Consider the following 18104-nt stretch of genomic DNA (forward strand, 5'->3'; position numbering starts at 1 on the left):
GATCCCAAGGATGTCTAAAACTGCAGATAGTACTGGACCCCATATATAGTATGCATTTTTCCTGTACATACATACCTATGACAAAGGTTTAGTTGACAAACTAGGCACAGCAAGAGATTAACAACAATAATGGATAATAAAATAGAACAATGATAATATGCTGTCATAAAGGTTAGGTGAATACGGTCTCTCTTTCTCTCTCTCAAAATGGTTTATTGTATGCTACTTACCCTTCTTATGACCTGCCGATCTGATCACCAAGAGGGCTACTATATGACTCTTAAATAAATACTATCCATTGGCTAATTAACAGACAGGAGAGAATAATCTGATTGGTGCTTTTTTTTTTTTTTTTTTTTTAGTCGGAGTCTTACTGTGTCACTCAGGCTGGAGTGCAATGGCACGATCTCAGGTCACTGCCACCTCCACCTCCTGGGTTCAAGCGATTCTCCTGCCTCAGCCTCCCAAGTAGCTGGGACTACAGGCATGCACCGCCACACCCAGCTAATTTTTGTGTTTTTAGCAGAGACAGGGTTTCGCCATGTTGGCCAGGCTGGTCTTGAATTCCTGACCTCAGGTGATCTGCCCACCTCGGCCTCTCAAAATGTTGGGATTACAGGCACAGGCCACTGTGCCCTGCCTGATTGGTGTTTTAAACAATTGCCCAGGCTGCTCTAAGGAGGACAGGGTACAGAGCAAGCAGACCAGGAGCAGGAAGCCACGTAGGGCATGACGAGGGTGGTCCAGGGCAGAGCTCATGGCGGCCTGCACTAGCCAGGTAGGGTGTGACAGTGGTGATCCAGAGCTCGTGGTGGCCTGCACTAGGGTGGTAGCTGTGGGTAGTGATCGGATATATTTTGAGGCCGAAGTCACTACTTGCTGATGGATTGGATGTCAGGACAGGAGCAGAGTCCTGGGAATCTAGTACGCGTTTGGCTTGAGGGCCAGGTTAATGGTCTTGTCATCTACTCAGGCGGAAAAGCCTGGTGGGGAGAGGTAGGGATGGAGAAGAATAGAGTATCATTCCAGGGTTCCATTTGGCCATGTTGAAGATGCTCTTAAGACACCCAGGTGAGATGTTGAACAGGCAACTGATGTGGGCATTCATAGCTTTGTTGGAAGAAATGAAAGAAAATAAGAACAAAAAAGGAGAGAAGAGTTCTTCATGAGAAGAAGCAGGTAAGAGAAGGAGCCTGGCGGTTCACAAGGACAGACTTCTCTTGCCACAATTTCCAGTTCAGTTATGTTCCTAAAAGTATTTCTGAGAATTTGCTACGTGCCAGGCAGGACCTTAGCAGAAACAGGAGAGGCAGCCTGGTCTCAAGCTGCTATGCTCCAGGGAGAAGCGACAGCTGCAGAACATGGAAATGGCAGATCGTTTTGCTGTAGATGAACCCTAGAGGGAAGGGGAGACAGGGCGCTGGACGGGTCAACCTGGCAAGGCTGAGAGGATACTTGAGATTAACCAAAATGATGGGAAGGACAGGGCCATGGGAAAGAGCAAGCACAAAGAGCCCTGGGACTACAAAAGCAGAAAGGAGGACAGTGCCCAAGAGGGAGCATGAGCCAGGGTGACTGCAGACCTAGGCAGGGCCTCGAAGGCTGGAGGGGCTGGAGGTCACGCCTGCAGGATCAGTAGCTATTGGAGGGTTTCAGCAGGGGACAGATGCTCTTGGGATCATGCTTTGGACAGATGGTTCTAGCCGTAGGGTGAACCATGAATGGTAGCAGGGAGCGTGAGTGGGACAGAGCCGAAAGGTTGTCTCCGTGATCCAGAATGAGATGCTGGGATTTGCTCAGCCTGGTGTGCAGGTGACAAGGGGCAGCAGACTCAGACATATTGTGGAGGTCAATAGATCATCCTTGGGAATGTGAGATATCAAGTTGAGAGTCAACAGAAGAGCCAGTCTGGAAATCCTGGCCTGAATGAGATAGAGGAGAGGAGAAGGCCATGGGAGCCGGAGCACTTCAATGTTTAGACTCTGCAGAGAATGTGGGAGGAGGAAACGCTCATGGGTCGCAGTCCAGGTGGAGCAGGGTTTCTCAACCCTGGCACTGTCCACACTTGGGGCCAATTCTCTATGGTAGGGGATGTCCTGTGTAGGATGCTTAGTGGCATCCTTGGCCTCCACTCACTAGTGCCAAATGGCCCTGAGAGAGGAAAATTACTTTCCGTGAAGAAACACTTCGTTAGAGAAAATAAGCAGGCAATGAGAGGCAAGCCTACCTAAGGCTTCAGAGAGTGGACTCAGAGAGTCCGACCTCCAGGGCACAACACAGTCTCTTCCACCTGCTTGCTGGGTGACCTTCACCAGCCGTGTAACTTCTCTTTGCCTTGAGTTACTTTATCTGTAAAGCGGGGAATGTAGTGTCACAGCATTCCAGATGCTATAGGGATCATTAAAGAGGTAATATAAGGAAACTCTTAGAATAATGCCCAGTACGTTGCTAACAGTTAATAAAACTTATTTTGCAAAGTGCTATGACGGGGGATGAGTAGGGAGTGTGCACCGCCCCCGCCACCCTCCTGCCCCTGACACACACACACACACATGCACAGGCGGAGTCTGTAGCCCCGGCCTAGCTCACGGGCTCGCTCGGCTGCAGGAAGTCTCAGTTGAGTGCTGGAGAAGGATTAGGAGTCCAGCTGGGGAAGAGTTTTGGATAGACAGGATGAAGGTGTCTAGGAAGACAAAAAAAGTATTTGAAATGTCCAGAGGAGAGGTTGGCACTTTCAGGAAGTCACAATTAGTTCAGCATGAGGGAGGGCTGAAAATTCCCTGGTGGCCCAGGGTGCAGCGGGCAGGGTGAGGGAAGCTTGAAGAACCAAGGCCAGAAAGGTAAGAACGAATGTCACAGGAGGAGTCAGGCATCCTCTGAGTTCCATGAGAAGCCACACAGGGTGTCAGGCTGGCAAATGACATGACCAGACAGCCATGGAAATACCACTCTAGCTGGATAGCAGCTTGCGGGGCAGAGCCGTTCTTACCTCCCCTTTCTGAGCCTCCATGAGGACATCTGCTCCCGGTGTCCACTGCCTTCCGGGATCTCCCTCCCTTCTTTCACTGGCTCTCCTGTACTTACCCTTTTTCCTGGTCCTGGACTCTTCTACTCCTTTCTTCAAAGTCCCTGGCTTTCAACACTACCACGTGCTAAGGACTCCCAAAGTGAGAGTCATTCATTCATTCATTCAGCACATCTCTGATGGCCAATGAGGTGCCAGGCATTGCTGTTGGTGCTGGAGCTAGAACAGGGGGTAAGACAGGCCAAAGCCCTGCCCTCCTAGAGCTCTTCTTCTGGTACAGGGAGACAGGCAATAAAGAACACACCTAAAAATGCAAAAGTCTGCTGGGCCAGTGGCTCACGCCTGTAATCCCAGCACTTTGGAAGGCTGAGATAAGAGATACCTTGAACCCAAGAGTTCAAGACCAGCCTGGGCAACAGACCCCATCTCTACAGGAAAAAAAAAAAAAAATTAGCCGGGCCTGGTGGTGCGCACCTGCGGTCCCAGCTACTGGGGAGGCTGAGGCGAGAGGATCACTTGAGCCTGGGAGGTCAAGGCTGCAGTGAGATATGACTGCACCACTGCACTCCAGCCTGAGTGACAGAGCAAGAGCCTGTCTAAAAAAAATGTAGCAGTTACTTATCACTTATTTATTATAGATGGTGGTGAATGCTATGGGAGTGTGGGGAATTATAGACTCCTAAGGGAGAAAAAGTGTTGTGGAGTGGTTGCTGCAGCATTAAACAAGGCTGTCACGGGAAGCCTCATAGAGAAGGTGGGGTCTGAGGAAAGCCTCTATGGCTAGAGTGGAGAGGGGCTGGCTCAGGCTCCCGCGGGCCTCTCCTTTCCCTGAGCCCTGGGAACCCACACCAGGCGGATTCCTGCCACCACCTCTTCACCTGTCTCTTCAGCCAGAGAGTGGGAGTCAGTCTTCCCAGCCCCCTCACTCCCCATCCTCAAGGCCACCAATTTCACCTCCTAAAAAGGCACTGGATCTATTCTTCACCCCCTCTCTTCACAGCCACTGCCCTCTCTCCTGGCTCATCCAGCCTCTTCACCTGTCTCCCCACTCCCATGCCCTCAAGCCAGTGTGATCCAGAATATACTTCTCATTCAGATTCTGCCTTGCTTAAAACCCTTACCAGGCTGAGCACGGTGGCTCACGCCTGTAATCCCAGCACTTTGGGAGGCCAAGGTGGATGGATCACTTGAGGTCAGGAGTTTGAGACCAGGCTAGCCAACATTGTGAAACCCCGTCTCTACTAAAAATACAAAAATTAGCCAGGCATGGTGGCCCATGCCTGTAATCCCAGCTACCTGGGAGGCTGAGACACAAGAATCACTTGAACCTGGGAGGTGGAGGTTGCAATGAGCTGAGCTTGTGCCACTGCACTCCAGCCTGCAGCCTAGGCAACAGGGCAAGACTCTGTCTTAAAAAGACAAAAAACAAACCCTTACCAGAATTTTTATCGTAGCTGAACTTTAAACCCCTTGCTGTGGCCTTCAAGTCTTCCTTGCCCACCTGCTGACTAAGGCCCATCACTTCCATGCTCCCGCCTTCCCTCCTTCCCTCACTCTGCTTCATTCAGCCAGGCTGGTCTCTCTCTTTCCCACCTCAGGGGCCTCGCACATGTTGTTCCCTCTGCCTGTAACACCCTTCCAGGCTTTCCTCCTGGTCACTTTCTTCTTATTCTTCGAATCTCAGCTGATATGTTTTCTCCTCACCCACCTAAATAGCTCTTTGCTGCCTCATTCTTTGTTTTTACATTACATTCTCTTTTGTCCTTTTCACAAGATTAATTGGATATTTGTCTGTGTCCTTCACTGACATTAGACCGTTGCTTGGTGAAGGCAGGAGACCTGTCCCGAACACTGTGTATGCGCAGTGCACTGCCCTGAGACAAGCAGAAGTGCAATGCATTAATGCAGAAGTGAATGAATGAGTTAGTAAGCAGTTGCAGTCACTCAGCTTCAAAACGTAGTGGTCTGAGCTGTGGCAATGTGAAGTGGGTGGACTTTGAGATCCATTTTGGAGTAAGAACCATCCAGGTCTGGTGCTTGCTTGGACCTGCCCCAAGAATCACTCTGAGAACTCCTCAGTAAGATGGTAGGACCAGGCTGAGCCTTCCTGGGCATTCCTGTGTGATGCAGCTTCTCCCACCCACCTCCTGTACCCTTAAGCACATGAAAGTCATCCCTTCTTCAGAAAACTGGAAAAAGGTTGGAGGACTTTGTTGTTGGAAAATGCCCTTGAGCTCATCTCTTCTCCCAAGCCCTGGTCGTTTTCCAGCTGGGGAAGCAGAAGCCCAGAGAGGTGACATGATTTGGCCAAGGGCTCCCTCCCAGTGCATAGATGGGTGTGGCTGAAACCTCACTTCTTCACTTGCAATCCCTGTGCCATCTCTTCTTAAGGACAGCTTTGTCCAGCCTGGGCAACAAAGTGACCGGCTTTACCAAAAAAATTTTAAAATTAGCTAGGCGTGGTGGCATGAGCCTGTAGTCCCAACTACTTGGGAGGCTGAGGTGGGAGGATCACTTGAGCCCAGGAGGTAGAGACTATAGTGAACCGTGATAGTGTGACTGCACTCCAGTCTGGGCAACAGAGCGAGACCGTGTCTCAAAAAAGAAAAAAAAAAAGACAGCTTTGTCCACAATTTAAAAAACACCCCCCAGGCCAGCCCATGGAGCTGGAGCAAACATTTCAACCAGCTGGGCCAGGGACAGTCCAGTGCCACAATAATAGGTATTCCCTCCTGTGGGAGGGGAGTATCCTAGCTGTGACTTAGCAGGGACCAATGCTCGGCTTTATTGGCCATGGTGGGTGGGATGGCAGGGAGAACTCTGAGAGGAAAGTTGGTAATATTGACAGGAGGGGCAGACAGCTGGGTGGAGAGGGCCGGGGACTGCTCTGTGAGATCAGAGCAGACTTCACCTTCATCTCTCCAGAAGAGGGACCCTCTCACAGAAGCAAGGGGTTGGGATGGAGCAGCAGGAGGCTGGAGTTAGGAAACCACCACTCATTCAGGCATAGAGCATTTGTTCTGAGTGTTCTGTTAGGCAGCTATTCCCCAAGATGCTGGAGAGTCAGATCTGAATAAGATACTGAGAGGGAGACTTCAGGAGACTCCCAGCCTGGAGCAGACAGACAGGTCAAAAGGCCTATGTGATACCCCTAGAACAAAGGCATTCACACCTGGGCCACACAGCCACTGAACCCCAAGGAAGCCGGACAAAGAGGATCGGGGGAAACGTCATGCTAAAAGGAGAGATGAGACGAAAGAAGAGAGAGGAGAGGCTTACAGGGATACAGATACTTTCCAGCATTGCTTTTCTCAGGAGATCTGGAAGGGATCTGTGCACTTTACATTGTTCATTCCATCAACAAGTATTTACTAAACACATAGCATACTCCAGGAACCACGCTAAGCACCAGACAGTATAGTTCTCAGTTCACAGAAAGGAAGAAGCAGCCCTGCACCCTGGCCTCCCAGTGCAGCGATTGCCCAGTATCTCCTGAGGCTTCCACTGTGAAGCCAGTCCTGTCTGAAAAGCTATGGAGCATTTTATTTATATATTTATTTATTTATTTATTTATTTATTTATTTATTTATTTTTGAGACAGAGTCTCACTCTGTTGTCCAGGCTGGAGTGCAATGGTGCAATCTCAGCTCACTGCAACCTCCACCTCCCAGGCTCAAACAATTCTCTTGCCTCAGCCTCCTGAGTCACTGGGATTACAGGCACCTGCCACTATGCCTGGCTTTTTTTTTTTTTTTTTTTTTTTGTATTTTTAATAGAGACAGGGTTTCACCATGTTGGCCAGGCTGGTTTTGAACTCCCGACCTCGAGTAATCCACCTGCCTTGGCCTCTCAAAACTCTGGGATTTCAGGTGTGACCCACCATGCCCAGCAGCTATGGAACACTTAAATAACACAGAGAAAATCACATTACTGCTATCAAGGGGTTTGTAAGCCACAGAGCTTAAGAAATCTTAGAAAAGAAAGGTGGCATGTTAAGGCCCTGGGGAGACCACTGTGGCCCCCAAGGTCACTGTTTATCTGTGATTGCTCTTGCAGGAAAGTTCTCAAGAAACTTGAGTCAACACTTGCTTGTGTTGGTCATGACTCTTTGGGTTACAAGTGGCAGAAGACCAATACAGACTTAAGCATAAAAACGAATTTAACGACTTCAGGCATAGCTGTATCCAGCTGCTCCAATGATGATGTCAGACACTGATATCTCTTAGCTTGTTTTTCTCTGAGTTGTTTCACTGTCAGGCTCTGGGGATGCAGTAACCAGTAAACAGAGTACCCTGGGGGTACATTGAACAAGACAAAAAAAAAAATGCGTGGTCCTCATGGAGCTTGTAATTAGGTTCCTACAACTGGTAGTAAAGGAAGACCACCAGGCTTTCTGGGATTACTTCTTATTAGCTTAACAACTCTAACATGAGGAAAAACTAGCCCCAGTAAAAATGTACTTTATCGGTTCTGCTTTGTTACATGTTACCCCCAAGCTGAACAAAGTGGCAGAGAGGAGCAGTACCTCATTGAGCCTGACCCCAGGTCACCAACCCCTCTGGGATCCAGGAGACCGAGATTGGGCAGGGGTGGGTCCTCAAGTGAAAATTGATGCGATATGGCCAGATATCACAGATATCACTTATTTTATTTATTTATTTATTTTTGAGACAGAGTTTCACTCTTGTTGCCCAGGCTGGAGTGCAATGGCGTGATCTCTGCTCACCACAATTTCTGCCTCGCAGGTTCAAGCGATTCTTCTGCCTCAGCCTCCTGAATAGCTGGGATTACAGGCATCTGCCACCATGCCCAGCTAATTTTGTCTTTTTAGTAGACATGGGATTTCTCCATGTTGGTCAGGCTGGTCTCGAACTCCTGACCTCAGGTGATCCGCCTGCCTTGGCCTCCCAAAGTACTGGGATTACAGGCATGAGCCATTGCACTCAGCCCAGATATCACTTTAAAAAGGGAAAATAACAGACACAATGTCTGGCATAAACCTAGACTGGAAAAAGGCAAAGCTGTATGGTCAACATGAAACATAGGAGAAGGTACTAACAGTCCCAGGGAAGCAGGGAGGGAGGCCACAGGGGAGAAGTCCAGGGACATGAGTTCGCTGTTTCCCAAGGGAAACCAGTGCCTTCAGGCCACTCTGTATGGGAGATCCTGTAGCAGACTCTGGAACTGCAACCAAAGCATGAGTGGGAAGTCAGGCAAATTCAGGTTGATAATTGATTGGTTTCCTTGGGCAAGTACCTTACATCTCCCAGCCAGGTGCTCAGCCATGAAAGCGGGTTAATCGTAGCCATTTCACAGGTTGTTGTAAAAGTTAAATTAGAAAACCTGCCTAAACAAATGCCTGGCCAGGGTCGATGTTCAAAGGTAAGAAGAGTGAGGGGCCGGCAGGGCATCCAGTCCGGCCCCAAGCAGCTTGGAGGTGGCAGGAAAACTGTGTTTGTACATTTCCCCTTATGAACTTCTATCCCAGGATGGAGACAACCTCTTTGAAGAGCAGTGCCTAGAATGGCCTCCCAGGACCACATCTCCATCACAGCTGGAATCTCATCCGTCATCTCTGCAGCAGGGTCAGAAACTGGCTGCGGCAAGCAAGGTTCATTTCACCCTCTTCCTCAGCAAGAGAAGCCCCAGCTGCTTCTTTTCTGGCATTTCCCTGTGCCTACTGGTTGGGATGGCCAGCAGCAGAGTATTTGGCCTCCGACCACCTAGAAAAAGCCATGCCTTGGTTAAGAAGTGCTGCATTTGAGAATATGGACCTTTGTGGTTCCCCGTATCCCTGGGAACCTCCACATTCAGAGAGGCTAAAAGCCCACACCGACCCGAGCCAACAGAATGGGGAGGAAGCAGGTGCAGGGAGTCAGCTTCATCTTCCCCTTCTCTTGATGATGCTCTTCAGCCATTAGGGTTTCAAAAGAGTGGGCGTGAGCAAGCGAGAAAAGCCCCTTCAATTCTGGGAAACTTAAAGACAGTTTCTTCCAGCAGGAACACCTGGAGAGGCAAAAAAAAAAGCAAAAAACAAAACAAAACAAAACAAACAAACAAAAAAAGTTGTGTTGGAACCCGTGGAGAGAAGGAACTGTCCGTTTCCAAACTCTGCTTCGGCCCCTCTCCCCTCCCACCCACGGCCCCAGGCAGAGAGGGCCGGAAAGGCAGCCCATTCCTGCCCGCGCATTCGGGCGCACAAGCGCATTGCGCATGTACTGTGGAGGGGGCACCCTGGTCTCCACCTGGAATGCGCTTCTAGCCAAGTAATTGCGTCGCCTTTGCGCGCAGCTGGCCTGGGGAACCTGGGCCCATCAGAGCCAGTTACTCTTGGTCCCCGCTTTACTGGAGGGTCGCAGGAGACTTTCGCTTCCAAAAGCACACGCTCACAGCAGGCTTGTCACCCCCTCCTCCCAGGAGCGCACCTTCAGCCACCCACTTTTCTGGTTTTGCAGGAAAGCCTCAGGGGGGTTCACGTGGGAATAAAACAGTCTCCCGGGAGAAGGTCGTGGGCAGGTGCGTTTGGGAGTAGTGTACCTTTAAGGAAAGAAGTCTGAACCGAAAAGACTAGCTAAGTGCGCCTCCCTCTCCCACGAGAGAACTGGCTGAGAGAAAACAAACCTCAGAACAAAAACCCAGTCACCCCATGGGCCTTTTGTTTTCAGTCAAATGCGCAAAGCCAGGTGGCTCCTTTAACACCCCCAGAGATTGTCCCCATGATCTCCTCTGCGCCATGGGGCGCTGGGTGCTGGGGGCGCCGTCTGTATCCTCTGCCTGGTAACTGCCCCCATCGCGCCCCACTGCGCCCCAGCCCAGGCTGGAAAACTGGGCCAACAGGGAGGCTTGGATGGGGGGAAACCCAGCCTGAGGCTGGAAACGGCTAGAAGTGAACGGGACGAGTGGCTTTGCAAAAGCAGCCGCTGCGATTCTCTAGCGCCAGCGCCCCTGCTTCCAGGAACTTTACGCAAGATAGGCGAGAGGGGTGGCCGCACTAAAAGAAAAAGAAAAATTAAAAAAAAAGACATTCCAACTACTTTATCCTTGCGCAGGGACCCCTTCAAATGTTTCATTCTGGGCCAGGACTCAGGCTTTCCAAACTGAGAATTTGGGGTGGAAAAAAGCAATCACCCGTTGCCCGGGGAGCATAAAAGCTGAATGCGCACCTCAAAGAGATGTGGTGTTTGCGCAGGGAGGCCCCCTTTTTCTAGAGCGCATCAGGGGCTCAGGAAAAACCCCATTGTTACTGGCCAGAAAAAGCTGCTTTCCCAGAGGATGCAGAGCCAGACTTGCAGCAAAGAGTTGCCTGTACCCTTCCCAGAGGAGGGCTTTCCTCACACGCCAGGCTTTGTTGTGCAAACCTCTAAGCTGTTAAAACACCCAGCAACTCTGAGGAGAAAAAGCCCAAAGTTCTTGTTCGGTTTCGCCTGGCACTGGAAATGCCGTCAAACCAGAGCGCGAAACGGTCTGGTGGAGTATTTCTGGTATCAGCATCTTGCAATTATTTGCTCAAAGGCAAGTGAGTGTTTCTCCCAGGACCAAAACATAAAGTTTGTTTTGGATAAATGCGCCTAAATACCCCATTAAAGCTGGCGCCCTGAAAAGAGTTCTGCTCCCCAAATTGATTTAAAGTATTAAAGCAGGATTTAAAGGTTATTCACACTCCAGGCAGTTTATTGGCACCGAAGCACATTCAGAGTTTCTATACAGCTCACTATATTTAACAAATTATTTGAGTTATTATGTAATCAGGCTGAGAAGTCGCACTTGTAAACTCTGCTTTAATTGTGCAGTTAAACATTTTTACAAAACTCCTATATTTGCATTTGTTAAGATTTCAGATTAGACCATTTTGTTAATTGCGCCATAGTGCTCCATTTTCCCCGGTGCGTCTTTGCAAAGCTTTCTTTCCCCTTTCAATAGCGCAGCGTTTACGCCCTGGGCTACCTCCAAGCCCGGAGCTCAAAATGCTCAATTTATTTATTCTTAATTTTGTGGCGATCATTCATGGAAGCAAAAAAGGCTACAGTGTCCTTTTTAAGAAAAGAAAAGCTAATTCTTGAAGTGACCTTGGCAGTCTGGTGCGTGCCCCATCCGAACAGAGAGGGCGGCTTGTGTCAACAAGCCCCCATCTACCAGACTCACCCTTGTCTTTATTCCAACTAATTTTTCGTTTAAGACTTTTCTTAGACTTGTCTCTTATCTATCAGATTAAAAGAGCAGCTTGTAACAAATCAGTCTGCTCGATTTACAAGAGCATTAAAGGGACACAAAGGCAGCAAGCTGCAGTTAGTACCTGGGTCTGTTAGACGGTGCGGTGCCTGCAGCTGATTTGATGGGTTGGAAATGCGCACGAAACAAAATACTTGAATCCTGAAAAAGACCCTTTGTAAGTTTCTTTAGAAATCAAGCAATTCTGCATGACAAAGAACAATTAATAAGCCGTCTTTTCACAAACCAGCAGCTGGTTTCCCCGTCAAGGAAAGTTGGAAAAAATTCAGGCTGAATGCGCGCAGAAGCTCTTTGCGCACAGACATCTCTCCAAGGTGACCCATTTGGCACAGCTGAAATAAATAACCCCGCTCATGCCCAGAGAGCGGGGGAACTGTCAGAAACATTTACGCTAGAATATCTTGAAATTGCAAATCCTTTTATGGGGGAGGACGCTGCCGATGTGGGTTAAATGGACAATGACGCTGGTTAAGTTGGAGGGTCCTTTGGAGACGGACACGTGGCTTCTCAATGAAAGCTGCTCCGGGCTCGCGTGGCCGCCTTCGCCCTGCACACACTTCTCCTCCCAAATACTTGAAAATAGACAGAGAAAAACAAGCAACTCACAAACTCAGCCCTTGGCCCTGGCGGGGAAACAGAATTTCTTTGCACTTTTTCAGAGATATAGTTTTTTTTTTTTTTTCTTTTTAAAGGACCTGTTTGGCCTCTCCAAAGCAGAAAGCCACCGACTTTTTTTGTTTTGTTTTGGAAAAAATCCCCTCCTCCCCCCAGTCCCCTCTGGATCAAGGCTTTAAAAGGGGCACGTATAGAAGTGGCTTTGTCCGACTCTCTGCCTCAAGGCCCATTGGAGATTCTGGGGCAACTGGGGCCTGGGGAGATGGGGAGGGGTGATTAGTCTCCAAAACCCAAAAGTGCTTGCTGCTGCCCTGCTCCTGCCCTCAGTTCCCATTAGCTCGGTGGCTCAGAGAGAGCCCACATAACACAGGCAAACAAACAAGACCTCCAGTGGGTCTGGCTTTTTCCAGGACAGCAGAGACTCCCCTCTGATGAGGTTCATTAAGTCCTGAGTCTTTCTCTTTCTGGCCCCTAATTTTAAAAAGTAAAGTACTCACAGGGATTTTGAGAAGTGAAGGGAGACACACCCACATTTCTACATTGTGCTTCATCTATGGAATCTGGATATTTTTACCACCTCTTCCCCCAGTCTCATAGGGCTGCTGTACGGGACACCCCCATACCAGTGCCCACCCCCAAGCCCTGGGAATCTCAGACATTTATATTCATTCAACTGGTTTACCCTTAGGGATTCTCTCCTTTTCTTTTTATCCCCCAACCCCGTCCAACTCTTCCCCCAAAAAAAGTGAGGGGAAAGGAAGGCTTCTGGATTTTTATTCTTTGTTTGATTTCAGCTTCTGGCAGCCGCCACAGCTACAAGACAGATATCCCAGAGCCTGCTTCCTATTAATGGTCCTTTCTATCACACTCCTCCACCCTGCATTTTTTTTTCCTGAGTTACCACAGTGCTTTTTTTTTGTGCATAGGCAACTGAGGTGCAACTGAACTGATACCCGGAGTTTCTGGTAAATAAAAAGCAAGTAATTTATGAAAGGGACCTATGTCTTTGCACAGCCTCTGGCTTGTCGCTTGAATGAATGGCTTCCTTTGAAGTATGCCATGTCTTAGCTCATAAATGTAATCCAGCATCAAAGGTACCCAGGCCCGGTGATGCAAAACTGTTTACTCTTCATTTTGATGTATACAAAAAGATGCCCTTTATTTCCCTGGACTCCAGTGAAAGATGCAGAATAGAACCAGAGAAGCCAGCCATGGGTTGGCTTGAAAAGGCTGAGCTGGGAGAGCAGAGGCGGCTCGACTGACAAAACCCAAATGTGGACACGCATGGGTCACTGGCTAGGGGTGTTGATTGTGGAGAGCCATCCAGTCACGAAATCCATCTCGACAGTGTGTGCTGATCAATCATGACCTTGTAGCGGCAACATTTATCAGCCTGGAAGCCATGAACTTTGGTTTGCTCATTTTACTTGAACCTGACGCTACCCTTGGGGACCAATGCCACACATTCACTGTAGGATTGATGCAGAGGACACCCCAAAAGGGAAATAGGAGACTGAGTTTCCTTTGTTAAAGGGGATTATAGCCACTACGCCTGTTTAACTCTTTCCTCCCCTGGCCCTGGAACCCATCCAGCTGGGGTGGGTGTGGGTATGGGGGCTGCAGTTGGCCCTAAGCTAAACCTAACACTTTGATAACTTACATACTCAGCAAAGTAATGGCAGTTCCAGCTAGAACAGCCTGGAACGTCTCTCCATGCTGGGATTGGAGGGAAAAGTTCATTTTGGCTAATTTCAACTTTTCCACCATTAAATCTGCACCTGCAATGTCAGGGGTCACCAAATAATAAAAAGTGGCATCTTTGAAACTGCTCAGTCACGTGAAAAGGGCTGTAATTGAGTAGATTCATTCTCTGAAGCCCCATCAGAGACACACAGCTCAGGGCTGGGGGAGGGGGAGAGGTTCAGGACAGGGAGGCAGGGCCAGGAGCAAGCCAGGCTCTGGGAGGGACCCGGGAGCAATGGCAGCTTCTGATGTGGTCCCTTGCTTTTGAAATCTGAGACTAAAAATAAATAAAGATCCCACACATTCACTCCATACACACCCACATACCCACGCTGGCCTCTAGCCTTTGTGAGCAGTTTGACCTGATAAATGCGCTTGGCTGGCATCAAATAGTTCTGCTTTGACCGATCCCATTTAAATATGTGAATTAGTCATGAAGCAGGACACAGCTTGGTGAGCTTGCTAAATTGTTGGACTCTATTGAAGGAGAAGGGAGAAAAAAAGAGAAAGCCATTCAGCGTTCTCAATTAGATGGAGAGGTAAGGGCATCCCAGCCTCAGGCCACCTCTCCTCACTCACTCCCCAAGCCTGGTCTCAAGTGCAGCAGTAAAAGCCTCCCTAGGCCATGAGGCAAAGGTCACCTGGTACCATTTGGGATTATTGTTGCCAGCCTCATGGAATACAGCACCTGTGGCCTTCCATGGCACAGATTGTCTGGGCTGTCTTAGGAGGCCAGTGAGTTTCCAGGGAGGCAAGGGCCCGCTGGCACTGGGATCAATGGACATCCTATGCCTGGGCTGGCGGGGACTCCAGGTTGATGCCACCATGGGAAAGGCTAACCTGGAGCTTCTGTAGGAATAGTTCTTAACCCCAATGCCCACCACACCCTGCCCAGGAGAGAAAGGAGGAGGAAGGAAGAGAGATTGGTGAGCTCCTGGGTAACTCACTCCTCTCTAAGTACAGTCCCCTTTGCCTAGAGAATGAGACTCACAGGAAGAGTGAAGGAGGGCACCAGCAGCAGGGTCACGATGGAAGTGGCCCTCAGTGCCAGCCCAGTCTTAGCAGGAAGGAAAAACCAATCCCCAGTGTCGTGAGTTCCTTAGAAATGCCCCTGCTATGCACACATACCCAGGTCCCACCTTCACCCGCCCCGATTCCATGCTGCAAAAGAAACGTGCCTCTGAGCTTCAGCTGCTTTGTGGGATTGGGGTTGGGTGGCAGCTGGCTCCAGACGGGAAAACTGTTAAACGCCTGCTGTTTGAAAGTTCCCCTTCTTAGCTCAAGGCATTCTGCACACCCTTCTACCATGAATAGTTGCTCAAATCAGGTACTTCCTACTGCAGGTTTTGATGGAGCCAGCCCCAGCCATTCACTTTGTTAGGAAAGGATGACTAAAGAGCAGAGCCGTTAGGGGGAGCGCGTCCACTTGCTTGGTTTGCAGCATGAGATCAATGAGCCAGGAGCTCAGGATAAAATAAAGTGTCAATGTCTTTGTCTCCTTGAGGGGAAGCTTTAGGACAGAGTGCCAGGCAGGGGTGAGTGGGCCGAGGAAAGCCCAGCTCTGGGCTCCACGGACGGCACGAGGAGGTTCCCTCTCTGCAGGCGTTGGCAGTTACACCCTGGGTGTGCAGGCTCCCAGCGTCTCCTCGGAGAACTCAGGAAACTCACCAAGGCGTTCGCTGAATAGGAGTCCGGCTTTGAAACTGTGAAGTCGCAGCGCCCCCTGCCTGTGCGTGGCCGCCATAGCTAGGAAGCCTTCCCAAGTCGGGAGGACCCTCCCCAAGGAGCTCCGGAGGCTCCCCCAAAGCCGGGAGAACCTCGCACAGGCATCCAAGAGCAGCTCTGCTCCCATGGGGACCTGGAACTTATTTGGAACTCAGCAGTCCCTGCTCTTTCTTCCCTTCCTGCTCCCCCACCTACCTAAAATCCCAGGAGCTAGCAAAGGACAAAGGCTCTCCCCAGAGCTTCTGCCACACAGGGGTGCTGATGGGTGGGCTGCAGGTGGGCCTGAGCCCCTGCCCCCCTTAGCTCCGGCTGATTCTGTTTGTCGCCGACCTCAGCTGACTGGATGCTGTCATGGTGGCATGGCGATTATTATAGGCATCTCGGTTATATTACATTACGGTCTTCTCACTTTATTGAGATCATCTCAATTACTGCTCAAAGATTAGTGCAAGCTGCCATGACTCATATGCATCCGGTGTTTACTCTTACTTCATGGCCCTAGTAGTGCTGTATTGATGCCAAAGCGTGAGAGACTGTCACTTGATTACGATTTCCAAAGGCTACTGTAATGAATCTGGCCCAATTCCTGACTTGGCTTGGACAAGCCTCCTCCCTCCTCCACCCACTATCCCATTCCTAGGTTCCATTTTCACTTTAGTTCTTCTACCAGAGTTAGATGCATGTTTTCCTTAATCTTTACATTTAAAAATAAAATTAAAATGCAAAGTCGTCACATGAAAACACACTTCTCAATTTTCTTTTTTTAAATATCCCAAACATCAAAACAGTACTACTCAATAAACACCCTCATCAAGTGCTATGAATACACCAGTTGGCATCAGATGCGTCTCCCTAGACAGCAACGTTTCTGTGTCCACGGATCAACAGTCCACTTATGACAGAGCTTCCGATTCAGGCAGGCCCTGGCAGGCTAATTTCACCTCCATAATTTTATATGCAAGTTAATGCTACTCCCTGAAACTGCTCTTCCCTGAGTTCTGCCTGTCAGGGATGGAGATGGAGAAGCTATCCATAACACTTCTCTCCTCCTTAGCCCCACAGGCAACATGCCAGCCTGTCCTCCACTCTGCCTTCAAAGCATGCTCTGCGGCTGGCGACTTCCTGCCACTTGGACTGCTACCACCAGGAACCAATTTCCCATCTATCTTCAGCTCCAAGGCTCCTACCCTCACCCTGCCTCCCTCCTGTCACACCAGCCAGAAGGATCCTTGCAAACCCCACCTCAGATCATGTCAATTACTAAAAATAAATTCAGGGGCTCTCCACTGCACTCTGTAATTTGACTCAAAATTATTAGCTTGGCCCTCCAGGGTTCACCTAATCCGCCCTCTGCCTAATTCTCCAACCTTCTTTGGGGTTTCTGCTCTCCCCATTCCTGATGATCCAGCCACATGCCTCTCCTGGAATTTATGCCACCTTCCCATCTCAGAGTCATGGTTCAGCGTTTTTCACTGGTTTATTCTTATTTATCCTGCAGGCTCAGCTTTAATGTTCCTCCTGTGAGCTCACAACCTATATTATTCTTTCTCATTGCAACATGTTCTTTGCATTTACATGCAACCATTTGTGTATCTATTGTGTATGATCCCTCGGGGGCTGATACATTTTGGGACAGGAAGGAAAGCATCCTTTTGTATGAGATGTATCCCCAGTACCAAGCTCCAGGGTCAGCTGGAGTAGTTGTTGAGTTGACATGGATGGAATTGGTGAAGAAATGAATGGGCTGTATAAGGTTGACAGTATTCACTCATAAAGGTTTAGTGACTTGACTCCTGCCACACCCTCAGCAAGCAGACATGCAGTTCCTAGGTGAACTGCACCATCTGGAAGACTCCCTAGGAGAAGAAATGGGGAGAGGGGCTGCAGGAGGCAGGTTAGAAAATTCTAGAACAGTTGGTTCTCCAAGACAGAGTCCCCTTAGAGTGGGGCTGTAAAGATATGTGAGAAGCATAGTCAATGTTCACACTTGTGCTAGCTTTGGCAGCACATATACTAAAACTGAAACAATACAGAGAAGATTAGCATGGCCCCTGTGCAAGGATGACATGCAAATTCGTGAAGCGTTCCATATTTTTTAGTGGAAGCAATTTTGGAGGTAGTGGAAGCTACAATGATTTTGGCAATTACAATAATCAGTCTTCAAATTTTGGACCCATGAAGGGAGGAAATTTTGGAGGCAGAAGCTCTGGCCCCTGTGGTGGTGGAGGCCAATACTTTGCCAAACCACGAAACCAAGGTGGCTATGGTGGATCCAGTAGCAGCAGCAGCTATGGCTTTGGCAGAAGATTTTAATTAGTAAACAAAGCTTAGCAGGAAGGGAGAGCCAGAGAAGTGACAAGGAAGCTACAGGTTACAAGAGGTTTGTGAACTCAGCCAAGCACAGTGGTGGCAAGGCCTAGCTGCTACAAACAAGTCATGTTTTAGACAAATACTCGTGTATGGGCAAAAAACTTGAGGACTGTATTTGTGACTAATTGTATAAGAGGTTATTTTAGTTTCTGTTCTGTGGAAAGTGTAAAGCATTCCAACAAAGGGTTTTAATGTAGATTTTTTTTTCACCCATGCTGTTGATTGCTAAATGTAATAGTCTGATCGTGACGCTGAATAAATGTCTTTTTTAAAAAATGTGCTGTGTAAAGTTAGTCTACTCTGAAGCCATCTCGGTAAATTTTCCCAACAGTGTGAAGTTAGAATTCCTTCAGGGTGATGCCAGGTTCTATTTGGAATTTATATGCAACCTGCTTGG

The 18104-nt window shown here is 49.0% G+C and overlaps 1 long non-coding RNA gene and 1 pseudogene across 1 annotated transcript in view, besides 2 other annotated features; one reads left to right on the forward strand and one right to left on the reverse strand.

Annotated features, from left to right (window-relative positions):
• Positions 1–7655: 7655 nt before the first annotated feature.
• Positions 7656–18104, reverse strand: part of PLUT (PDX1 associated lncRNA, upregulator of transcription) — a 98200-nt gene continuing 87751 nt past the window's right edge. The window contains exons 4-5 of the long non-coding RNA NR_047484.2: positions 11319–11395; positions 7656–9031 (exon numbers count right to left, since the gene is read on the reverse strand). This is a non-coding gene — a long non-coding RNA (PDX1 associated lncRNA, upregulator of transcription). The remainder of the gene's footprint in view (positions 9032–11318; positions 11396–18104) is intronic.
• Positions 10388–11963: an enhancer, noted in NCBI's record as "VISTA enhancer hs532". NCBI's record gives its function as "enhancer in: hindbrain (rhombencephalon)[3/7] | midbrain (mesencephalon)[7/7] | forebrain[6/7]" and the evidence as "EXISTENCE:transgenic organism evidence [ECO:0001131][PMID:17130149]".
• Positions 15428–15927: an enhancer, noted in NCBI's record as "H3K4me1 hESC enhancer chr13:28401001-28401500 (GRCh37/hg19 assembly coordinates)". NCBI's record gives its function as "activates a minimal SCP1, AML or CMV promoter by ChIP-STARR-seq in naive H9 embryonic stem cells {active_cell/tissue: H9 hESC(naive)}" and the evidence as "EXISTENCE:reporter gene assay evidence [ECO:0000049][PMID:30033119]".
• On the forward strand, positions 17327–17433 carry RNU6-73P (RNA, U6 small nuclear 73, pseudogene; annotated as a pseudogene).

Source organism: Homo sapiens, chromosome 13, assembly GCF_000001405.40.
Source record: "Homo sapiens chromosome 13, GRCh38.p14 Primary Assembly".
Classification (NCBI taxonomy): Eukaryota; Metazoa; Chordata; class Mammalia; order Primates; family Hominidae; genus Homo; species Homo sapiens.